This window comes from Homo sapiens, chromosome 1, assembly GCF_000001405.40.
Source record: "Homo sapiens chromosome 1, GRCh38.p14 Primary Assembly".
In the NCBI taxonomy this organism is placed as follows: Eukaryota; Metazoa; Chordata; class Mammalia; order Primates; family Hominidae; genus Homo; species Homo sapiens.
This window is the reverse complement of record NC_000001.11, coordinates 69071403-69097855: the sequence shown is the minus strand read 5'-3', so window position 1 is coordinate 69097855 and position 26453 is coordinate 69071403. Positions and strand designations below refer to the sequence as shown.

Genomic DNA, 26453 nt, shown 5'->3' with positions numbered 1-26453 from the left:
AGAAATAATACCACACATCTACAACCATCTGATCTTTGACAAACCTGACAAAAACAAGAAATGGGGAAAGGATTCCCTATTTAAAAATGGTGCTGGGAAAATGGGCTAGCCATATGTAGAAAATGGAAACTGGATCCCTTCCTTACACCTTATACAAAAATTAATTAAACATGGATGAAAGACTTAAATGTCAGACCTAAAACCATAAAAACCCTAGAAGAAAACCTAGGCAATACCATTCAGGACATAGGCATGGGCAAGGACTTCATGTCTAAAACACAAAAAGCAATGGCAACAAAAGCCAAAATTGACAAGTGGGATCTAATTAAACTAAAGAGCTTCTGCACAGCAAAAGAAACTACCATCAGAGTCAACAGGCAACCTACAGAATGGGAGAAAATTTTTGCAATCTACTCATCTGACAAAGCGCTAATATCCAGAATCTACAAAGAACTCAAACAAATTTACAAGAAAAAAACCAACAACCCCATCAAAAAGTGGGCAAAGGATATGAACAGACACTTCTCAAAAGAAGACATTTATGCAGCCTACAGACACATGAAAAAATGCTCATCATCACTGGCCATCAGAGAAATGAAAACCAAAACCATAATGAGATATCATCTCACACCAGTTAGAATGGCCATCATTAAAAAGTCAGGAAACAACAGGTGCTGGAGAGGATGTGGAGAAATAGGAACACTTTTACACTGTTTGTGGGACTGTAAACTAGTTCAACAATTGTGGAAGACAGTGTGGCGATTCCTCAAGGATCTAGAACTAGAATTACCATTTGACACAGCTATCCCATTACTGGGTATATACCCAAAGGATTATAAATCATGCTGCTATAAAGACACATGCACCCGTATGTTTATTGCAGCACTATTCACAATAGCAAAGACTTGGAACAACCCAAATGTCCAACAGTGATAGACTGGATTAAGAAAATGTGGCACATATACACCATGGAATACTATGCAGCCATAAAAAGGATAGTTCATGTCCTTTGTGGGGACATGGATGAAACTGGAAACCATCATTCTCAGCAAACTATCGCAAGGACAAAAAACCAAACACTGCATGTCCTCACTCATAGGTGGGAATTGAACAATGAGAACACTTGGGCACAAGAAGGGGAACATCACACACCGGGGTCTGTCGTGGGGTCGGGGGAGAGGGGAGGGATAGCATTAGGAGATATACCTAATGTCAATGATGAGTTAATGGGTTCAGCACACCAACATGGCACATGTATACATATGTAACAAACCTGCATATTGTGCACATGTATCCTAGAACTTAAATTATAATAATAAAAAATAAAAATTAAAAAGGGGGTATTTTTCTTACATAAAAATAAACTTGGAGATAGGTGCTTGCTGGTATTGATTTAGAAGGTTGATGCTGTTTGGTCTGACATTCTGAAATTTTCTTGAAATTTCCATTCTTTGTCCTTCTCTAAGGGCAGAAAGGTATGATGTATTTTCTCACCCATTATAAGGATCATGGCCTACATGCCTTCTACATGAAAGATGGGTTAACAAGAGAAAAGCGTAGCAAACTTAGTCAAAGCTTTATGTGACATGGGAGCCTTCAGAAATGAAGACCCAAAGACCCAGGGAAAGCTATCTATTTTTATGCTTAGGTACAATGAAGAATAAATGGCTGCATAGAAGTCTGATTGGACAAAGGGTATAATATAATGGTAATAGACTAATAAGGGAGGGGAGACCCTGTAAGGCTTGCCTGTTCAGATTGTTCTTAGTTTCTGTGTAGCATTCTTTCCTCCCAGGTATGGGGCAAGAGCCCTCTGAAATGAGAGTCTTCAAGAGAAAAATTAAAGGAGTGACTTTCTAGGTTTTATGGCTTGCTTTGGAGGAGAAATTTGGTTGGTGTGTTGTCTCATCTGCCATTAAACCAGACTCCCAATCTCAAGAATAGTTCAGTCCAGTTAAACAGTTAACAATTGTATCTCATCTCAGGAGGCAATGTTGTAGGTGAGCTTTCACCAAAGTTAGGCTTTTATGTAGTGTAAACAAGCAAGTATTTAATAAGAGGTATTTTTATAGAAACAAAGTAAAAACAAAGGTTAATAGAACAAACTAAACTCAATTTTTGAGTCCAGAGGGCACCTGGTCAAGATTTCTAGATGTTAGTCTCCAAGTAGCTTCAGTTGAAACAAGGGCAGGCAGTGGTAATTTGAACAAATTTTCTTGGTTTACTGTTTGCATGGGGTGCACCAGTGAACTTCCTGAATAGTCTCTACAGCAACAGGCATGAAGGTTGTTCGTACACAAATTGTGGTAATTTATCTGAAGTCTATATAAAGTGATCCAGCTTCAGTTTGCTAGGCTTCAGGAAAAGAGCAGTTTTTTTGTTTTTGTATTTTTTTCAATGATTCCAAGCCAGAAAGTGGGAGAAAAATTAGTATTAATTATTTGAAGACTTGCAGCCAGAAATGGGAGGAAACTAGAAAATTCAAGAATGCAGTCCAGATTTTAGGTAACTAACAAACCTTCAAAAACAATGAGCTAGAATCTAATAACAGATACACTATAATTTTCTTCTGAAACAGAATTTTTTTGTACAGTCACCCGCATTCTACCAAAAATAAATCAAAGACTGATTTGTTTGCAAAATTGGTTTAGTTTCATTCAACTTGACCTGCTTATTTTAAAAAGTGCAGCAAGAATAGTGATTGACCAATAAGCTCTCTTTACATTTGCTTTGCTGGTACTTCTTATAAGAAATCTCAGTGAGGAAGTCAAGACAAGAACTCACCATCAAAATTAACCTATAGGACCTATAAATTTGGATAAATTTATTTCTACTTGAGGTCCCCAAAATATCCCGAGATTTCTTGGTCTGTTAGGAAGTGAGATTCTTTACCTACTTGAAGGGTAACTGTGTGGACCATATATTTAAGGTAGCAAGCCAGTTTTTCCAAGGAGTTCTTTATTGGCTCTATAAAGTCAACCCTAGTTTCTTAAAGTTGTCTGATCACAAATGAAAATAAGGCATTCCAAAAAAGTTTTGGTAATAAAACCAGTATTTCTATTTGTATCCTGTTATAAGGATAACAGATTTATATTGAACTTATGCAAATAACTATATTGCCATAAGAATAAGAATACTCAGGCCAGGTATGGTGGCTCATGCCTGTAATCCCAGCACTTTGACAGGCCAAGGTGGGCAGATCACTTGGAGCCAGGCGAAATCCCGTCTCTACTAAAAATACAAAAATTAGCCAGGTGTGGTGGCAGGTGCCTGTAATCCCAGCTACTTGGGAGGCTGAGGCACAAGAATCACTTGAACCCAGGAGGCAGAGGTTGTAGTGAGCCAAGATCATGCACTGAACTCCAGCCTGGGCAACAGAGAGTGAGACTCTGTCTCAAAAAGAAAAAGAAAAAGAAAAAAGAATAAGAATACTCATAAATAATATTTTTTAATTCTGAAGGAATCAGGTGAAAAAAAGTAATTTTTTTATATTTTTGTTCATAAAATTATAGTTTACCAAATGACTGTAAGCTATAGCTAGCTTAAACAAAAATAAATTTCTTAAATCTGAATAACAAAACTTTTATTAAAACAATAAAATTTCAAAGAAAATGTCATAAAAACATTTTTTTTTCTTTTTTGAGACAGGGTCTCACCTTGTCACCCAGGCTGCAGTGGCATGATCCCAGTTCACTGCAACTTCCACCTCCTGGGTTCAAGTGATTCTCATGCCTCAGCCACCCAAGTAGCTGTGATTACAGGTGCATGCCACCACCACCACACCCGATTAATTTTTGTATTTTTCATAGAGATAGGCTTTCACCATGTTGGCCAGGCTGGTCTTGAACTCCTGGCTTCAAGTGATCCTTCTGCAGCAGCCTCCCAAAGTACTGGGATTACAGGCATGAGCCACTGCGCCCTGACAAAAATATTCTTATCAGTTAATTTAGTTCCATGTAATTAATTATTGTTCTGTTTGATTTTGGTTGGCAGTTTCATGAAGCCATCAGTTTCTTCATCAGAGTACTGAAAATTCTTACCCAGTCCAGTGATGTATTCTTTATCAGAAACCTATACTCAAGAGTACTTTAGAGTCTTTTTCATGAATCTTCCTGAAGAAGCAAGTTTGGACTATAGCTGATTAAAAGTGCTTTTAGAGAAGAAGGAAAACAATAACCATCTATGAATGACAAAGAATGGCCATGTATGACAAAGAATGGCCATCTATGAATGACAAAGAATGGCCATGTATAAAATCAGGTGAGAGACTTCATTATAAAAATGATGCAACTTACAAAAAATTTTGGTTATTTCTGTGGTATACAACATTTTAATATAATAATCAAAATTATGACAGATTTCTAGGAATTCTATATAATTTTTGGAACACTATCAAAAACATACTTAGATGTTGTTGATATTAACATATATATGTTTAAAAGGTTTAGCAACACTTATTATTTGACAATGCATCCCATGTAATTTAACATATCAAATAAGACTTATTAGTTTAATATCTCTCTTTTATAAAGTGAGAGACACATCCTTTAAGCTTTCCAGGGACCCAACTGAAAAATTCCAAAGTTAATTCAAAGTCAAACAGAGTTAATTTAGAATTTGACTTTGGGAAGTTTGTCAAAAACGTCAAATGGTTTAAAACACATGATTAAATATGAGCTTGGCTATCTATTCAAAATGACAATAACATATTTTAAAGGCAAATGCAGGAGGTTACATACTGTGAACAATGACCTAGCTCTTTTAATACTGAGAAGACTCACTTTTTATTAATAAAAATAAAAATAATCAAGGCGGGGTGTGGTGGCTCAGGCCTGTAATTCCAACATTTTGGGAGGCTGAGGTGTGCAAATCACTTGATCCCAGGAGTTCAAGACTAGCCTGGGCAAAATAGTAAAACTCCCATTTCTACAAAAACTACAAAAAATTAGTTGGGCATTGTGGCATGCACTTGTGGTCCCAGCTTGGGACTTGGAGGCTGAGATGAAAGGATCAGTTAAGCCCAGAAGGCGGAGGTTGCAGTGAGCTGAGATCACACCACTGCACCCCAGGCTGAGTGACAAAGTGAAATCCTGTCTCAAAAAAAAAAAAAAAAAAAAAAAAGTAATCAAAGACCTAATAACACAAAGTGTAAGAAATTATCTTTTTTTTTTTTTGAGACAAAGTTTTGCTCTTGTTGCACAGGCTGGAGTGCAATGGCACAATCTTGGCTCACCACAACCTCCACCTCAAGGGTTCAAGTGATTCTCCTGCCTCAGCCTCCCGAGTAGCTGGGATTACAGGCATGTGCCACCACGCCCGGCTAATTTTGTATTTTTAGCAGAGACAGGGTTTCTCCATGTTGGTTAGGCTGGTCTTGAACTGCTGACCTCAGGTGATCCGCCCGCCTCGGCCTCCCAAAGTGCTGGGATTACAGGTGTGAGCCAACGCGAGCCACCACACCCGGCCTAGAAATTATCTTGACAAAACACAAAATATTTGTTTCCTAACAAATTATTTAAAAGGAGAAAAAAAAAAAACCCCTTCACATTCTCAGACCAATACTCCAAGAAAACGTCATGATTTTAAACTAAGAAAAAGAAATTCTAGTTAGATCAGGGTAATATAGCTAATTTTAATAAAACCTGATGAATAAATTTATCCAGTCTCAGTCATCTTTGACTGATAACACAAGGTAAAATTTTTACAAACCTTTTATAACTTTTTGTTATATCCATAAGCTTTTTTTTTTAAAAAAAAATACTTTTGTACCTTTCTTTATCAAAACATCTATTTTCTTCACATACAGAGTTGTTTCTCTATACAGCCATATCTCATTTTGTTGCTCTTCATTTTATTGTGCTTTGCAGATATTGCATTTTTAAATAAATTGACAATTTGTGGCAACTCTAAGTTGAGTGAGTCTATTTGCATCATTTTTTCAATAGCATGTGCTCACTTTGTTTTTGTCAGCATTTTTTTAGCAAAGGAAGTATTTTTAAATTAAGGCAAGTACAATTTTTTTTTCAACATAATGCATTGAACACTTAATGGACTACAATATCGTATAAACATGACTTTTATATGCACTAGTGATATGACTCCGATGACTGGAGGAATATCAGGGTCCTTAGTCTCATCCCAATTTTGATAAAATGACACGGAGACACATGGAGTGGTTTTAAGGAGCGGGAAGTTTAATAGACGAGAAAGAAGGAAGAAACTCCCCGACACAGAGACAGAGGGAGGGAGGGCTCCAAAGCCAAGAGAGGAAACTCCCCTGTGCAGCGGAAAAGTGGCTGCTTATATGAGAAGGCTGGAGGAGGTGGTGTCTGATTTGCATAGGGCTCAGGGGCTGCTTTGACCAGGCAGGTCATTTATGGAGCTGTGAAAAACCTAGCCCTTCCACCCTAGCCTTTCAATATGCAAATGCACAGCACCATGATGTTCTACACACGTGGGGATATGTGGGGGCAACCATGTTGCCAGGCACATGTGGGGGCAAGGAAGAAGTTGCCAGGAATTGACATGTTTTGGTGGACCCAGTTTCTAAGGGGCCCATTTGCATATCAAAGTTTGCTGACCGAGCTTTAAGAACCAGGGCTTTCCTGCTAGGCAAAAAATGTTTCTGGAGCTGCTTAAAAGAAACAAAAACTTCCCAAGGACCCCTTTTCCTCTTTATTTGCCTAAAATAATTTCTTAATAACTCCTATTACACTGGGAAATCAAAAGTATGTATGACTCACTTTATTGCAGTATTCACTTTATTGCAATGATCTGGAACCAAACCTGCAACGTCTCCAAGGTATGCTTGTAATTTCTAGTAGCTTAATAACATATGCTAATTATAATCTTTAACTCTAGTAACCTTAATTTCTAATGAAAACTAGCAAGCATTGTAAATTGGCTTACATCAGCATTTACCATTTTATAATTTCCAGAAAGATGTTTCCTCAGTTTTTCATGCTTATTACCAGACTCAGATATATGTAGCTCTCTATGACATATAAAAACAGGATGCTAAAATATTTAAACTTAAACTTATGCTTAGTACTTAATGTTTTAGTATTTTACCTTACTGAGGCATATAGCAAGTACATATTACTTAATCTCACATTAAGGTTTTAAGTTACCAAAAAAGATTTTTGAAGATATTCTTAAGTAGACATATGTTATAAAGCATAATTATATTGAAAATTTTACTCATAGACTTTTATCTCACATTCATCTAATTCATTCATCTTTAAGAATTATGCTTGAACTGTGTATGAAAATTTTATAACACAGTAAATAAAGCTAACCACTATCTTATCTTTTTTGTTGACAAATCAGAGAAGTATCAAAAAATCACAGACACAAACTAAAAAGCTAAACATGTTATCTCCTCTATTTTTTTTTTTTTTTTAGAAACTGACATGCATCAAGCAATTAATTCATGTTTTACTGTGCATTCTGCTTTTAGGCTAGATTTCTAGTTTTATAATCTTAAACATCTAACAGAGACAATACAAACCTGTCTGTACCAAAAACCCAGGCAAAAATGTATGTCTGTATTAGATTTAATGATATAAACATACAGACAGAGCAGATTTTACAGTTTCTATTCTATAACTTTTAGCCACATGCCAGGTTCAATAATTTAAAGCTCACTAGCTGGATCTGTCAAATGGGTAAGGTAAGGCTATCTTCTCAAATGACTACAGCTTTTTACCAATTTTTCTGGAGAAGGCTTTTAAGAGTTTTCATTTGACCAGTTTCCAAATAGTTTATTTTTTTCTCTTTTCTATGAAAGTCATCTCCCTGAAGTTTTTATTGCAAAGGGTAACTATCAAGTTCTAGAGAAGAGTGTAGAAAATTTACGAATCAAAGGCACAGAGAAAGCCTACTATCAGAGACCGATCTTATGGAGACTATGAACTAGATTGTAAGCTAGTGCCTGAGGAGACATCTTACAGCTGTTTAAATGTCTTCAAAGACCCACCTGAGTGGACGAGTTATCCATTTCTGTTACAACTGAATTTGTTGCATTTTTCTCGATTTTTGTCTGAAGTTCTCACTAGAGAGTGTTTATAGACACTCTCTAGTGAGAGAGATGGGCTTATCAAGATAGCCACTCTATGGTAGAGCCCCAACTGGGAGGCTCATTAGGCTCAGGTATGTCAATTAAGTGAGACACAGAGGAAGATTCAAAATGAATGCTGAGGTAACATAAAATTATGGGAATTTACTACAGGATTTTACAAGGACATATACAGATGGACCTAGGAGAAGGTTTAGAAGCCTAACTAAAGTCTGGCCACAGAAACCAGAGTCCTTCTAAGAAGGGGTCTTAGAGAAGCCAGTTTAAGAAGATTTTGAGTCCCCTTCCCCATCCCCCTAAAAAACCAATGATATTCTACATTCTCCTCAGCAAAAAAATCTTGCCAGCAAGAAAGAAAACAGAAGGGCTGAGCATATAGTTAGCAGGGATTCAACAAGAGGAGTTTCAGTCAACTAAGTTCCCATGGAAGAAGCAATATCCAATAGTGAGAACACAGAGGCCTTAAAAAAAGTAAAGCCTGAATATCAGCTTTCAATTAATCAGACTTCTGACCACAGAATTCATTGAAGAAAAAAACAAAACAAAAAAACTTTTCAAATATTTTATTTTCAGATTTCAGCCAGAACAAACAGCAACTGCTTGAACTACTTGTGGCTTTTTTTTTTCTGCTTTTAAACTGAGGCCCCAACCAAGTGACTCAGAACCAAAATCAGTCAGTCTTTTATGACTTAACCAAGGATGAAAGAGATGTCCTGAAAAGAGGGTGCAAAAAGATGTAGTCCTCCCAAGATCCAGAATCATCCGCAAAAGACAGTCAAAAGAAAAAAAGACCTTTGTTGCCACAGAACTAAGCAATGAAGGCTGAGACCAAAAAAAAAAAAACAAAAAAAAAAAAAGAAAAACAAAAAAAAAACAGGCCTCTCATGAATTGGAACCTCTAATAAGACAAATTCCCCTGAGAGCTGACACTACATGACAAAAAAAAAAAAACATTTGGACTGGCTGCCTGATGTAAGCTGACACTTGCATCCCCCAGCTGGTAGAGACCAGAGAGAATATTCTCACTGATCATAAAACCAAACCTTCAGGACACAGAACAAGACAAATAGGAAAGAAATGGATGTCCCCGGAAAGGAAAAGATCAATAACAAATATGTACTTCCAAACCAAATTTACACAAAAGACACAATCCAAACAAATGATTTCTTCCTGCTAATCTGAATTTGGGAAGGAAGGGATAAAAACAAATGCTTACCTTCCATTCTTAATTGGGCACTACAGGCAGAGATCCAGGAGAGGTGACCTTGGTTTAAAAAAAAAAATGTGTGTTGTTGTTGTTGTTGTTGTTGATTTTTTGTTAGTTGTCCCAAGATCTGGTGTGAGGTGTTTCAATGACCCCACATTGGGCACCAGAAACTGTAGGGGCAGGAAAGGGGTGTGATAACTTGATATTATAGGAGGAGCAAACGTAGCACTTACTCACCCATTGTAAGTGTTACGTTTGATCCTCCTATAATAAAAGATAGGTTAACAAGAGAAAAGCATGACAAATTTGTTTAATCAAAGTTTTATGTGACACAGGAGCCTTCAGAAATGAAGACCAAAAGACCCAGGGAAAACTACTTTTATGCTTAGGTTTGATGAAGAGTGGACATCCATGTTGAAATGTGATTAGACAAAAAGGGTGATTGAGTGGTAAAAGACAGAGGAAAACCCAGTAAGTCCTGTCTGTTCAGATTCTTCTGGGTTTCTGTAGAATTCCTTCCTCCTAGATATGGGCCAGGACCCCTCTGATATGAGGTTCTTTAAGGGAGAAGAGAAAAGAGTGACCTTTCTAAGTTTAATGGCTTGCTTTGGGGAAAGGGTTCTAGTTTCTATGACCCACTCTAGGCAAGAGGAATTCTACGACTCACTTCAGGAGAGAAAGAGAGCAGGAGAAGGTCAGAGAGAGATTTTGCTTTTGAGGCTTTCCCATCTCCTTTAGTTCAAAGTACTCAGCATGCCAAAGTGCCATACTTTGTGTTATCATTTTCTGAGCCCCAATGCTTGGGTCACATATGGTAGCTTCAGCTCCTGACATTAGATCCACATTCAAGGAAAGAAAAATGAGAAAGGGATGATGCCAGGCAGATATATCCCCTTTTAATAGGAAAGCAAACCCTCCCCCAAAACATTCAGGAGACTTCCATCTACCATGTGTTAAGCACAGCTGCACACAGAACCAAGCAATGAAGGACACAGAACCAAGCCATGAAGTTGTGTGGCTACTGTTGGCTCAAGGGAAACTGAAATATGAGCGTCTATCTGGGCACATTGCTCCCCAATCTGGAGTTTTGTCAGCAAAGAAGGAGTGAATGAATATTAAGTAAGCAATCAACAATATCTGCCACAGTATTATTTACTGAATCTTCCATGTGCCAAGCTCTACACTGAGATCTTTATATAAATTATTTCATTTACTCCTCACATTTAATACAATAAGGCTTTTTAAAATTAGTATTTTTTTTAAAACAGATAAGGAGATAGTGGCACAAAAAAATGTAGACAACACAATTCAGCTACAAGGTGGTGAAAGTGCATTTCAAAACCAGATATTTTAAACCTAGAGCTTAGAGCTTAGCATTGTTGGGTTGATGGGAAAAAGTTACACACACACACACACACACACACACACACACACTCATAGGACCTCTGGAAAATTATCTTATACCTATGAGCTATTATTGTGGCTAGAACATAGCGTGTGAGATCACATGCTTTACCCTTCCTCTGAAATTTCACCCCACAACTCTGGCACTCAACATTTTACAAGTGCTTCTGTTAAACACTATACATATGTAAAACATTCTCCCACTCCCCACCTTGACTGGGTTTCTTGGGTTAGAGATTATATTTTATATTTCTTAATGTTCTCCTCTCCATCAGTGCCTTGCTCTTACTCAACCAAAAAGTGAATGCTGCCAGTAAAAGCAACCAGAGTAAGTTTTTAAATTCAAAAGACCTGAAGTCCTGCTTTCCTAGGCATAGGGTCTGCTCCTTAGCAGCTTCAAAGGGGGCTGTACTGGAGCAAGAAGGAACCGTAGGCAGGGGATTCATGGCTGGAGACAGACTTCACAGATACCCTCTATTCTCAGCTAATTAGTGTCTTCAACTCCTCTCTTGCTCATCTTCTTAGATTCCTCTCATTGTTGCTTTGAGACTTTAAAATCGGAAAAATACTGTATTTCCTATTATAAACAGTATAATAGGAACACATAACATCAATGTCCTGGCCTAAGGCCTATGAGGCTTGGAATGTGTATGATCACCAAACATCAATAATTTAAGATCTATTCCAGTATAGAATACTGCAAGTATATCATGCTATGCTGTAAATATAAGACATTTATAACTACAGCTCTCAGAGCTCTAAGCATGTGCCTAGACCTAAAACAGATCCAGCAGTGGGTCCACTTAAAAAAAATCAGATAGTATCTTTGTGTCTCTGTTTTTCATTAAACATTATGCTTGAGACTAATTTAAGCTCAGTCAGTGTCACAGAGTTAATACTATTTATTTGCCCAAAGTTACTTTAAAAAAATCCATTTCTACAGAGGTCCATCAGCATTGCCACTTTGCATTGGAACCTGTGGTCAAGCAATTAGTAACAGTTCTCAGTTGGTGTCCTTGTCTTAATGATCCACAAGTACAGAGAACTTTAGTGAGGAGGCTCCAGAAAGAATTCTGCTCTTGGATAGTAACTTGACAATCAAACCTGAGAATTATTAGGAAAGAGAATAGCCAAAGCAGAAAGGAAATGGGACAGCTTTGTATTGTAATTAAAATACAGGAATCAGATACATGTGGATTTGAATCCTAATACATATGCACTAGCTGTGTGAATTGGGGAAAGTTACTTAATCTCTTGAGTCTCATAGTTTTCATCTGTAAAACAGGAAGGATATGATAGAAATATCTGATAGAAGGGACTTTAAATGAACGTATGCAGTGCCTGTTTAGGCACCATGGTTAGGCATTCTATAAATGACACTGTTATTTACATGAGACACACAGGGCAAAAGAATTAACAGAGCATATTGTTTATCATAGGAATCATATCCCAGAGGGGCCAGTAGAACCAGGGAAAGGCTTTTCTTACTAAAGATGCTTTCCTCCAAGCTCACTTTACCTTATGCCTTGCTGTTCTGCCTCCTCGACTAGAGTGGCTATTCTGAAATATCCATGTGCTGGCTCCATACTATCCTACCAATAGCTATTTGTCACAGCCATCATGCCCACTAGCTCTGTGAAACTTTTGTTTCCAAGGTAAAAGAACAATTCCAGCCATGATTTTTTTTTTCCACTGTTGGTTAAATGGATCAGAAGGATCAGCTGCATATCTCTCCCACAAATAAGACCAGCACATTGCCTATTGGAAGGAGATCAGTATATTTGAAGGAGTCAGAGCCTCTCAGGTCTGCTTTTAAGAAAACAAAGTGTTTTCTACTATTATAAGTAGCCCCTGAACAAACAGTCTTACCTGCTAACAATGCAGGTTGAATAGATTGGCTATAAGTTGGTGTAGGGGTGTTTTCTGTGATCCTCGTAAGTTTGTGGGTGTTTCTGTGATCCTCTTAAATTTGTAGTTGGGACTGACTCCTGTAACAAAAGACAGATTAACAGGAGAAAAACAAGTAGGTTTACAAATACATGCAGTGCACTTCATACAGAAGAAACTTCAATGAAAGGTGACTCAAAGCACTGGCTTAAAAACCTGGCTTATATAAGACCTTCAGCAAAGAACAATAAATTTTAGAGAAGTAACAGGACAAAGGAAAACAGTTTAAGGCTTCCAGAGGTGGGAAACTGTGGGAAGGTAAATTTATGAAAATAAACTAATAGAGCAAGGCTTGTTTGCATATTCCTCTGGTGCCATCTCTGGGCTGATAAGAACTGTCTCCAGTAAAAGATAATTTATATCCTGTCTTCAGGCAGAAAAGGAGGATAGAGAGAGCTTCTCTCCCTTTGCTGCTTCTTAACTGCCTTTAGTTAAAAAATTAGAGGTTACCTTCTCTATGTTAAAGAGGTATATTTTGGGGTGACATATTCTAATTTCCTTCACTGGGACTGAAGTCCCTAAGCCTAGCACAATGGGACTGAATAGAGCAAGGTGAAACTGTCTGATGAAATAAGATCATGCTGTATTCTGTTTCATTGGTTGATGTATCTGTTTTTGTACCAACACAATGCAGTTTTGGTTACTGTAGCCCTGTAGTATAGTTTGAAGTTGGGTAATGTGATGCCTCCAGCTTTGTTCTTTTTGCTTAGGATTGCCTTGGCTATTCAGCCCCTTTATTGGTTCTATATGAATTTTAAAATAGTTTTCTCTAGTTCTTTGAAGAATGTCAATAGTAATTTAATAGAAATAGCATTGAATCTATAAATTTTTTGGGCAGTATGGCCATTTTCATGATACTGATTCTTTCTATCCATGAGCAGGGGATGTTTTTCCATTTGTTTTTGTCATCTCTGATTTCTTTGAGCAGTGGTTTGTAGTTCTCCTTGTAGAAATCTTTCACCTCCCTAGTTGTCTGTATTCCTAGATATTTTATTCTTTTGTGGGAATTGTGAATGGGAGTTCATTCCAGATTTGGTTCTCAGCTTGACTGTTGTTCGTGTTCTATTATAAAGATACATGCACATGTATGTTCACTGCAGCACTACTCATAATAGCAAAGACATGGAGTCAACCTTAGTGTCCATCAATAATAGACCTGATAAAGATAATGTGTTACATAGACACCATGGCATACTATGCAGCCATAAAGAAGAATGAGATCATGTCCTTTACAGGAACATGGATGGAGCTGGAGGCCATTATCCTTAGCAAACCAACACAGGAACAGAAAACCAAATATCACATGTTCTCACTTATAAGTGGGAGCTAAATGATGAAAACACATGGACACATAGACAGAAACAACACACACTGGGGCCTTTTGTGGGGGAGGGTGGGAAAAGGGAGAGGATCAGGAAAAATAACTAATGGGTACTAGGGCTAATATCTGGAATAATCTGTACAACAAACCCCCGTGACACAAGTTTATCTATGTAACAAACCTGCACTTGTACCACTGAACTTAAAAGTTTTCTTAAAAAAAAAAAGATCTTTCATAGATATAAAACAACAACTCAAATTTTACTGTCAAGCAGAATGCTGTTCAGCCTAATGATTTTTGTTTCAAACTCTCCTCCTTGGCTGTTTGAAATAGACTATACATTTTCTCTGTGGTGATCTCAGCCTACACCGATTCAAATACAATATGATATGGTTTGTCTTAGTTTTCCTTGTTAGAGGATACATCTGCATGCTGACTTCTTTCACCAAATAGCTGTTGCATGAGACAAGTGTGTAAGATCTATCAGTGCATTTCATTAGGAGTAAAAGCTCACAGATGAGATTCAGCAAAGTGATTTTAAATCTAAAGCGTTTACCTCTCAAACTCACCTGGCTATTGCACCATGGAGAAGATGGGGGAGGGAGGAGGCAGAGTTTCTATTTCTGTAGAAAAATGGTAAATAGGCAGCTAGGAAGTCATAACCCTGATAAGTATTGAAGCACAGTGGATATTTATCTTTGAAAGAAAAACCAATTTTATTTGTTTTACATAATAATGGATTCAGAGAAGTTTCTAAAACAGAAAAATTAGTTAACTGATCAAGGCTTAGTTCTGAATATTTTGATAGTTTGAGTATACACAGAATGGAAGCTGACTCTGGATGTCCTATATGCTTTCCAAAGAATGTCTCAATATGTCAATTTTCTTTCATTGTGGAAGAAAAGAAAACAAAACAGCCACAATTTTCTCAGAGCAAATGGAAAGTATTATCTCTTTTCTGCAAACTAATAGGCCAGCATTCCTATTACATAATGAAGTCATAATTTTAAAAAGACCTTTATTTCCATGCGTTATAAGGAAAATTGTATTTTTCCTCACAATTGTGCAGCACTCCAACAACAACCAAAAAAGCCACCCACTAAGGTTAAAGATCGTTCCAGACATCTAATTTCTCAAGACATAGATTTTCTGTAGCCAAAAATTAGATGAACTCCCAGATCAGGAAGAAAGCTTTCCAAAGCCCCGTCTTTAGTTGAGTTGACTTGCCCAGCATGACATATTAGGTTGATCCAATCATTTTAAAGTAACAAATCCTCTCTTAAAGAGAAGGTAACCTCTGATATCATTAGAGACCCCAGTGTTCCTTTGGTTGTTACACTCTTTTCTTTTATTCTGATCTGTAATCTGTTAACCAGTGGGAAGTCGGGAGAACAAAGACATCTCAGACACTGTATATCAATCAAGGAATCAGCTGTACTACAATGACAACTCAGCTGGCGGCTTTGAAAGTTTATACCATGAGCCAGCATAAAATGTAATCATCTCAGAAGTCAGAGCATATTATGGGATAGAAAGCTTTTCTTTAGAGCCTGAGAAGATCAGCAGGAAAATATTTTATCGACATGGTATTGATGATGGTAACATAGATAAAAATCTTCAACCATTTCAAAAATTGTTTTAATAAACAATTCAGGAAAAATGATGGCCTTATATAACATTTCCATGGGGGGCACAGTCTTAAAGGGTGATGGTGAAATTTAGAACAAAGAGCAGCAGGAATTTTCCTATGACAGCATTTGTACATCCTTTCTAGTATAAGACCTGACTAGCACTACAGAACTGAAATAACACTGCAAAAGAAACACATTTTTTAAGGCCAAAAGGACTTTTAAAAATAAACATTTTCTTTTTTCATTCTTGACAATCCATTGAGACTATTTCTCTCTCTGTTATTGGCCTCACCCAGTAAGTGAATATTGTGGCATTCTAAAGTTCTAGAATCAAGCATGTTGGAGTTCACTGAGATTAGCACTGATCTTTTGACACTAGCTGGCCATTTGATGAGAGAAAAGCATTCTTAAGTGAGCTACGTGCCAAGTACAAAGGCAGAAAGTTGATTACATTGTCTTACTCTCTCAAGCTCCGGTTCCCTTCTATTATGCAAGAAGTTCCAGTATTCCAGCACATTCTTGCTTGTGAAGCTTTGAGGTTCTTATCGCTCAGCATAATGTAGAAACTAATATGGTTTATTTAAATTTTTGCCTGTTTTGTCCGTTCTCTGAAGCAAACAGTTTTTTTCCCAATATCTCCCTTCTAGGTCTATTTCAATCATGGCTGTTGTCAATATTAATGTCATCATTTACCCTTACCAAACATTAATTACATGGCATGTGCTGTGCTAAATACTTTCCATACATAATTTTATTTAGTCCCAACAACCATCTTGTGAGGAAGGCAATATCTCTACATTATGTAAAATAGAATTTAGGCTTGCCTAAGATCATCCTGTTAGCAAGTCACAGAGCTGAAATATGAACCTAGTTTTCCTGAACTCGAAGCCCATCTGTCAGGTTTTATACTATACCATTTACCAAAGCTGAGCTTAAACCCTTCTTGCAACTTTAATCCATTTCCTTATTAGAGTTTTGCACTGTAATGTCCAAAATCTCTCATGCAATACCAGGAAAAGGAAAACTCTGGTCCACTTTTGGCTTACAAGACTGGGGAGAGCTAGTAATTGCAATAATCTAAAAATTATCTTAAAAACAAAAGCATATTGAAAACCTCACCCCCACACTATGTTCCAACTGTACTAAACCACTTGTTATGCTAACTGGGTCCTGCTTTACACTTGCTTGCCTATTTGCCTGTAATTTCCTTTTTAAAATTTGCAAAATGTCCGGCCTTTCCTTATTTCAATACCTAATGTGCATTTTCAACAGTATATTTATTATCAGTGTCACAGAGATTTGCTCCCTCCAAAGCCCGCTGAAAAATGTAGGCTTCTTGCACATGTTAACAACCTGTGTTGGGGTTTTTTTGTCTCTGTGTTTAATGCTGAAGCCTCTTTCTTTGGGACACTTCAAACTCTGATCCATAGCCACGTGAACGACCCCTCTGCTTTCTGCTGCAAACAGGAGAAAGTGCTGCAAATAAAAAAATTCTTTAAAGTCCATCTTATAGTGTGAGCTTAAAACACCTTTCTTCCTACTTACACTATCTTCCTCCTCAAATGAATAAAGATATAAACACCGTCACAATTTCTACGTTATATGCTCTCATTATTTAACTATGTTATACTGCACTTCAGGCTGGGCATGGTGGCTCACGCCTGGAATCCCAACACTTTGGGAAGCCAAGGTGGGACCCAGGAGCTTGACACCAGCCTGAACAACATAGGGAGATCCCGTCTCTAAAAATAACAATAAAAAACTTAGCCAGGAGTGATGGTGCACACCTGTGGTCCCAGCTACTCAGGAGGCAGAGTTAGGAGGATCACCTGACCCTTGGGGGAAGGACCGAGGCTACAGAGAGCCATGATTGGGCCACTGCACTCCAGCCTAGGTGACAGAGTGAGACTCTCTCTCTCTCTATCTCTCTGTGTGTGTGTGATAGATAAACACACACACATACACACATATATAATACATATATATATACATACACACATATACACTGCACTTCCAAATCAAAAAATAATTTTATTGACTCATAACTCTTAAATTTGAAGAGGATCCCAGATTGTCTTCCATCTTTTTGCACAGAATTACAAGAGATATTTTGGACATCATGTGAAGCTTTGAATAGAGAAATAAAAATGAGTGCTGGCACTCTTCTATACAGATGTCTGTACCTTTGGGGCTCCGATGTCTCCTTACTCCTAGGTAGTTAGGGGGTTACTTAGAGGTTATTGGGGAGAATTTCTGAGTGGCTTCGTTATGCAGATTACAATAATAGCAACTGGTGGGGGAAAAAAAAGAAAGAAAAGCCAAGATTCCTCTATTCAAGAAACTGATGTATTTTTGCTACAGATATTCTAATCGTATCAATGATGGAAGATAACACTGAGGGCTTGCAAGGCAAGAGGCTCTGTGTTACATATTCATTCTCTCACTTAACCTTCATGATAACCCTATGGAGAGAAATAATTACTAGCTTTTGTTCAAATTTGAGTTGACAGGCACAGAAAGGTTAAAGAGTGTACTCATAGTATCACAACCAGTGAAAGTACAACATCCAGGTTTGGAGCCCATGCTCTTGACACTAGACTATCCTAGAACTTCAGAAATGTTACTGAAATAAACCTCTCCTGCTTCCAAACAAAGAAACACAAGAAAAGTTCATCAGAAGAGAACTTAATGAGAAAAGCAGGACCCTAGACTAAACAAAATACCATTTTCTTAGTGTTTCAATTGATGTCATCTAATTTATTCATTCAAAAAGCATTTATTGTGCTTACTTAATATGTGCCAGGAACTGTTCTAGGTGGTAATCTATCAGTGGATAAAACAGACAAAAAATCCTCACCTTCTTGTGTTGAAATCAGACAATAATAATAAGTATGCAAGCTAGATAATAATGGGCAGAGACAGCAGAAGAAGAAAAGTGGAGTAGGGAACCCCAGGGTGGGAGGGTTGTTCAAGAGATTAGGGGGACAAGGAAAAATCTGAATGAAGACCGAGAAGGTGTGGTCAGGGAAGTAGGAGGAAATCCAGAAGAGTTTGGTGTCCTAGAAGCCAAGTGAAAAGTGGTTTCTAAGGAAGAAAGAGTAATCAACTATATCACATGCTGTGTGGTGTCCTTATGTGTCATTTCGGAAGAGCTATGTTGGGAAAAACCTGAGTGGAGTAGGCTCAAGAGGAAATGGAAGAGACGAATTGGAGGCAGCTAGGGTGACTATAAAAAAATATCACAGACTGCTGGGTTAAAAGAACAGAAATATATTTCCTCTCCATTGTGGAGGCTTAAAGTCCAAAGATCAAGGTGTTGGCAGGTCCGGTTTCTCCTGAGGACTTTCTCCTTGGCTTGCAGGGGGCTGCCTTCTCATGGTATCTTCATGTGGTCTTTCCTCTGTGCCCGTTCCCCTAGTGTCTCTCTGTGGGTTCAAATTTCCTCTTCTTTAAGGACACTAGTCAGATTTGATTAGGGCCCCCCCAGTGGCCTTGCTTTAACTTAATCAAGGCCCTATCTCCAAACGTAGTCACGTTCTGTGGTACGAGGGAGTCAGGGATTCCATATATGAATTTAGAGGGGATACAGAATTCAGCACAAAACACAGCACATGCGGACAACTTTTTAAATGAGATGAGCAGAACAGGGGGTCAGAAAACTGGGATGGTAATTGAGTGCAGTCAATAAAGAGATTTCTATTTTATTTTATTATTATATATATTTTTTGAGTTGGAGTCTTGCTCTGTCACCTAGGCTGGAGTGCAGTGGCACAATCTCAGCTCACTGAAACCTCTGCCTCCAGGTAAGTAACTCTCCTACCTCAGCCTGCCTCCTGAGTAGCTGGGATTACAGGTGCCTGCTACCACGCCCAGCTAATTTTTATTTCACCATGTTGGCCAGGCTGGTCTTGACCTCCTGACCTCGTGATCTGCCTGCCTCAGCCTCCCAAAGTGCTAGGATTATAAAGGCGTAAGCCACCACACCTGGCCTATTGCTTTTTTAAATGAAAGAAATGACTGCGTTATGTTGTGTGCTGCTGCAGTTGATCTGGTAAGGTGGAACAATTACTTAGTGTCACAAAAGAGGATGTTATATGTAACACAATTATACATTCTGCTTAGTTTGCTTCATAGATTCCTGTATAAGTTATGCTTTTAGGAACTTTCTTCAGAATATATTCTTCCAAATTCTACTTTCAAAGAATGTCAGTGGGATAGAGTGCTGGTTTCACAAATATTTGGAAAATAGAACTATTCACTGTGTTAGAAGTGACTAATGACAGTTGTCGACAATAAATGATTATTACCACAGGGGGCCGCTTGTCTCTTTGTGCATTTGGATAAGGAAAGGCTGACCTGGAGACCCTTAGAGGTTATGGAAACACTCCCCCCTGAGGGATAAGACTCCTGGGAAATGAGGTGATTACAGAGTGGGCTGACTAACAGTGAGTTGCCCACCAGCCTCTGGGGAATGGGAATGTGCTTGCAGCGAGATACTCCATGGAAGCATTGCACTCTCTAGTCCCATGGTGTTTCTCTACTTTTGGGACCCAGAGTTTAATGTAAAAATGGGATCCCTGATTTTGAGGGACCTGTGTTCTACCTTCCACCTGTGCCTGCTTTTCACATTTAAATTTTTAGCACTATAAACTGCATACTTTCTTTCTTCTCATGAAAGGGCTCCACCTGGAAGCCAATAATGTAATTAAGATATAAGCTAAGTTAAAAAGCCAAAATACAACTTTCTGACATTTATCTGGCTATTATGAACCTCTTTTGTAAAATCAATTTACATCTATAAACAAAAATCTCCATTTGTGAGAGCATTCTCCCTCTGTGCACCTAAACCTCTACAAACTTTTAGGATGGAGAAGAAAATGGCCTAAAGTTTACATAACAAAGCTTACCTTTGTTTATATCTAAGTTCTGTGCCTTTGTCCTGGGTTCTGCATCTTTAAAAGTATTTAGCGTCTAAGTTTTTCACTAAAAACAAGGGTTACTAACAGTTAACACTGTAACTAATGTATATAATTAAAAGCACTAGATATAAGACAAACAATTCTATATACAAAGTGTATAAGAAAAGCAGGATGTGTTTTTGATTTGAAAAGATTATAAGAAGATATGATAATGATGTGATTTTTGTTAAAGGAAAAGCATTTTTGCCTAAGTTAGAGGCTTTAAGTGTTGTTTTAAATGAATTAAAAGGAATGATAAATAAAACAATGTATAGAAAGCTGAAAAAAGAGAATGGAAAATATTGTAAAGCGTTATGAAAGGTTTATAGTAATCTTACCTTGTGTATTAGTTCATTTTTATACTGCTATAAAGAACTACCTGAAACTGGGTAATTTACAAAGGAAAGAAGTTTAATTGACTCACAGTTCAGCATGACTAGGGAGGCCTCAGTAAACTGACAATCATGGCAGACGGTGAAAGGGAAGCAAGGCATTTTGCTCACAGGCAGCAGGAAGAAGTGCTGAGTGAAGCAGGAAGCACCCCTTATAAAACAACCATATTACCTCGTATTCAAACTGATTAAGAATGTATTTGTTTATTAGGTTTTATTACAATTAACTTTAGAATTATAATACATGAATGTAAAAGTGAAATTTAGGTTTCTCTTTGGAAAGAGATTTCCATGTAATAATAATAAGAAATAAAATATTTTTGTTTACTTTTTGAGTAAGCTACAAACAAAAAGAGGGAAAGAGGAAGAGATTGATTCAGTTTGCCTTCTGATGTATTTTGATTGTTTGGGAAACCAAGTCTTCTCTCTATAAAAGAGTAAAGGATTTTGCTTTTTGAAATCTTTGAATTATCACATTGGCTAAATGAATGACTTATTTTACAGTGACCTGTGAAACTATTTTGTGATATCAAGTTTTTAGACCTTTGATATTTGACAAATTTTCCAAAATTGTATTTCAAATTATAAATTTAATCTTTTTTACCTCAAATTAACAGTTTGGATATTAGGGCCCGTGAAAGTCCAAAAGAGATATAAACAGCCTATTAAAATTATACAAGAAGCATTGCCAAATATAAAGTGATGTTTAACTTTCTGTGGGTTATGTTTATAAAAACATGTTTTTACCATGTGTCCCACAGTTGCATGAAATTCCTAAAATTCTGATGTCGTACTATAGGTTAGGATTAATAATTATGATTATTATGGTAAATTGTTGTGTGTCCCAGAAATAACCCAATTTCCTTGTCAATTTTGTCTTTAATTATGATTGTTCTAAGACTAATGTCGTTCAAAGCAATTATTGTTTTACTTTGATTCTTCTCAAAAAATAGATTATAATCAGCCACAGTCAAAAATTTGCTTTTTTAAAGAAAATCATAGAAAGGACTCTGACAAGTTCTGTTGAGTACAGTTTTCTGATAATTTTGGAGATTATACCTTTGGGCTTGGAAAAAATCTTCCAAGACTTTAATCAAAAAGCTGGTTTGTTCATGGGGATTCCTAACCCAACATCAAGCAGAACAACAGTTAATTACATGAGATTGAAATAATAGAGAACTAAACTTTTCTTTTACTTTTAAAATGTGAAACATACTGATTCTTTTTATATTTTATTTTCCAGAGTCATGAATTTTTTTCTGTTGGGCTACTTATAACTTACAACAAATTGGGCAAAGTATACTTACTCTTGCAAGGAAAATTTAAAGCATATCTTTTTCTCTCCATCTGATTTCTCCAGAATAAAATATTTTTGAGTATTTTTTTCAACTTTGACTTTAGATTCAGGGGTTACATGTGCATGTTTCTTACCTGAGCAACCCTGAGGTTTGGGGTACACATGATCCCATCACCCAGGTGTGAATATTCTTAATTTATGGCATTAGAGTTATTTGAATAAGTTCAATAAGTATTTGTTCTCTTTTAAAACAGGACACAATAGAAAACACTGGTTATTTTACCAAGGCTTTGGCTGAAATGTCATATTTTCAGATATGACCAGACTACTTTTAAGAATTAAGGTTGACTTTATAGAGGTGAGAAAAGGATTCTTGAAAAGACTGCTCTGATACTTCCTTTATATAATATAATTTCTTTACAAAATTCCTGTAGTAAGTAAAGAAATGCCACTTTCTGACAGGCCCAGGAACACCAAGTTATTTTAGAACATCAAAAAGAGAGGAATTTACCAATTTCATACAGGTATCTGCAGGCATAGATAAATTTTTGGCTTGGCTCAAGAGGCTTTTAAAAGTCTAACTTAAAATTCTTTATGAAAAAAAGTACAGCAAAGCCAATTTTAAAAGAGCCTGTATAGCCAATAACTATTATTTGTGCACACTACTATAAAAATAATCACACCAAGTATAATAAGACTAAAATAAATTTTTCAAATAAGTTGTTCCTATTGTGACTGGTCTTTGGTAGAAATGGGAAGGAGGAGAGGGAAAATTATGTTTCTAAAGAAAACTGTAGAGGGGTGGGGTTAAGATGGCCAACTAGAAGCAGCAGCAGTTGGAAGCTCCCACCAAGAAGAACAAAAACAGCATGTGAATCCTGCACTGGCAACCAAGGTGATATGGTTTGGCTGTGTCCCCACCCAAATCTCATCTTGCATTGTAACTCCCACAATTCCCATGTGTTGTAGGAGGGACCTGGAGGGAGATAATTGACTCATGGGGATGGGTCTTTCCTGTGCTGTTCTCATGATAGTGAATAAGTCTCACAAGATATGATGGTTTTAACAATGGGATTTTCCCTGCACAAGCTTTCTTCTCCGGTCTGCCACCATGTGAGACGTGCCTTTCACCTTCCACCATGATTGTGAGGCCTCCCCAGCCAGGTGGAACTGTGAGTCCAATAAACCTCTCTGTTTTGTAAATTGCCCAGTCTCAGATATGTCTTTATTAGCAGCATGAAAATGGACTAATACAGTAAATTGGTACCAGTAGAATGGGGCACACCACTGGAAAGATACCCGAAAATGTGGCAGCAACTTTGGAACAGGGTAACAGCCAGGAGTTGGAACAGTTTGGAGAGTTCAGAAGAAGACAGGAAAATGTGGGAAACTGGAAATTCCTACATACTTGTTGAATGGCTTTGCACAAAATGCTGATAGCAATACGGACAATAAAATTCAGTCTGAGGTGGTCTCAGATGGAAAGGAGAAACTTACTGAAACCTGGAACAAAGGTGACTCCTGTTATGTTTTAGCAAAGAGACTCTCAGCATTTTGCCCCTGCCTTAGAGATTTGTGGAACTTTGAACTTGAGAGAGATGATTTAGGGTTATCTGACAGAAGAAATTTCTAAGCAGCAAAGTATTTAAGAAGTGACAGGTGCTGTTAAAGACATTCATTTTTATAAGGGAAGCAGAGCATAAAAATTCAGAACACTTGCAGCATGACAATGCAGTAGAAAAGAAAATCCCATTTTCTGAGAAGAAATCCAAGCTAGCTGCAGAAATTTGCATAAATAATGAGGAGCCAAATACTAATCCCCAAGACAATTGGGAAAATGTCTCCAGGGAATGTCAGAGGCCTTCCTGGCAGCCCCTCCCAGAGGCTAGGAGGAAACAGTGGTTTTATGTGCCAGGCCCAGGGTCCCCATGCTGTGTGCAGCATAGGGACTAGGTGTCCTACATCCCAGTCGCTCCAGCCATGGCTAAAAGGGGCCAAAGGAGAGCTTGGGCCATGGCTTCAAAGGGTGCAAGCCCCAAGCCTTGGCAGTTTCCATGTGGTATTGAGCATGCAAGTACATAGAAGTCAAGAATTGAGGTTTGGGAACCTCCGCCTAGATTTCAGAAGACTTACAGAGACTCCTGGATGCCCAGGCAGAAGTTTGCTGCAGCAGCGGGGCTCTCATGGAGAACCTCTACTAGGGCAGTGTGGAAGGGAAATTTGGGGTTGAAGCTACCACACAGAGTCCCTACTGGGGCACCACCTAGTGGAGGCATGAAAAGAGGGCCACTATCCTCCAGACCCCAGAATGGTAGATTCACCAACAATTTGTACCATGCACCTGGAAAAGCCACAGACACTGACACTCAATGCCAGCCCATGAAAGCAGCCAGGAGGGAAGCTGTACCCTGCAAAGCCAAAGGGTCAGAGCTGCCCAAGACCATGGGAACCCACCTCTTACATCAATGTGACCTAGATGCAAGACATGCAGTCAAAGGAGATCATTTTGGAGCCTTAAGATTTTGCTGCCCTGCTGGATTTCAGATTTGCATGGGACCTGTAGCCTCTTTGTTTTGGCCAATTTCTCCCATTTGGAATGCCTGTATTTACCCAATGCCTGTACCCCCATTGTATCCAGGAAGTAGCTAACTTGCTTTTGATTTTACAGGCTCGTAGATGGAAGTAACGTGCCTTATCTTGGATGAGACTTTGGACTGTGGACTTTTGAGTTAATGCTGAAATGAGTTAAGACTTTGGGAGACTGTTGGGAAGGCATTACTGGTTTTGAAATGTGAGGACATGAGGAGTCAGGGGTGAAATAATACAGTTTGGCTGTGTCACCACCCAAATCTCATTCCCATAATTCCCAAATGTTGTGAAAAAACCTGTTGGGAGGTAAATTGAATCATGGAGGTGGGTCTTTCCCTTGCTGTTCTTGTGATAGTGAATAAGTCTCATATGATCTGATGGTTTTAAAAATGGGAGTTTCCCTGCACAAGCTCTCTTCTCTCATCTGCTTCCATGTGAGATGTACATTTCACCTTCCACCATGATTGTGAGGCCTCCCCAGGCACGTAAAACTGTGAGTCCAATAAACCTCTGTGTGTGTGTGTGTGTGTGTGTGTGTGTGTGTGTATGTGTGTGTAAATTGCCCAGTCTTGGGTATGTCTTCATCAGCAGCATGAAAATGGACTAATACACAAGGTATCCTGGTTCTATCATCAGAACTGACTAGGCAGTTGGCATTACCCTCGGAGAGCAAGGAAAAGCAGGGTGGTGCATTGGCCCACCTGAGAGCCACATGGGGCAGGGGAACCCCCACCCCCAGCCAAGGAAGGGGGTGAATGAGCATGCTACTCAGCCTGGGAAAGGGTGCTTTTTCCATGGAACCATGCAACCTACAGATCAGAAGATCCCACTCGGGAGCCCATACCACCAGGTCCTTGGGCCCCAACCACAGAGCCATGCAGGTTCTCATCAGCCACTTAGCTGGAGTTTGCCTAAGACCATCAAGTTCCTAAAGGGAGGGACAGCTGTCATTACTGCTGCTGCCTGCTGTCTAAGCCATCTGAGCTCCCTAGAGAAAGGGTAGCAGTCATCATCATGGCTGCCTAAGACAACTGAGCTCCCTGAGGGAGGGGCAGCCAGCATCACTGCAGCTGTCGACTGCCTAAGAAAACTGAGTTCCCCAGAAGAGAGATGGCAACCATCATGGCGGCTGCTAACTGCCTAAAACACTGAACTCCCGGGGGGAAGGGCAGCAGCAATCACTATAGCTCCAGGCTGCATTGTTCCCCTGCTGGAACTGGGAAAATTAGATGGCTTGGTCCCAGTAGGTATTCCCCACAGCACAGCACACCAGCTGTAGCAGACCATGGCCAGACTGCCTCTTTAGGCCAGACACTGACCCATCCTTCCTCACTGGGCTGGGCCTCCCTGAAGCAACTCCAGCAACTCCAGCCAGGTGCTTAGGGACAGAACTCTGATGTCCCTGGGTCTGAACCCCTAAGGGGTAGGGTGGTCATAGTCTCCATGGATCAGCAGGCTTAGCCTTTTGCCTTGCTAGCTCTGAGGAATCCAAGCAGGCCAGATGAGTGGCTTTCCCCCCAGCACAACACACCCCCTCCACCAACAGATAGCCAAAGTGCTTTGTTAAATGGGTCTTGATTCCCATGCCCCTCAACTGGGTGAGACCCCCCACAACAGGGGCGACCAGACA

At 38.6% G+C, this 26453-nt stretch overlaps 1 long non-coding RNA gene across 1 annotated transcript in view; it reads right to left on the bottom strand.

Moving 5' to 3' along the window:
* Positions 1 to 26453, bottom strand: part of LINC01707 (long intergenic non-protein coding RNA 1707) — a 129106-nt gene that overhangs the window by 87148 nt on the left and 15505 nt on the right. The window contains exons 2-3 of the long non-coding RNA NR_146608.1: positions 12558 to 12676; positions 9294 to 9341 (exon numbers count right to left, since the gene is read on the bottom strand). This is a non-coding gene — a long non-coding RNA (long intergenic non-protein coding RNA 1707). The remainder of the gene's footprint in view (positions 1 to 9293; positions 9342 to 12557; positions 12677 to 26453) is intronic.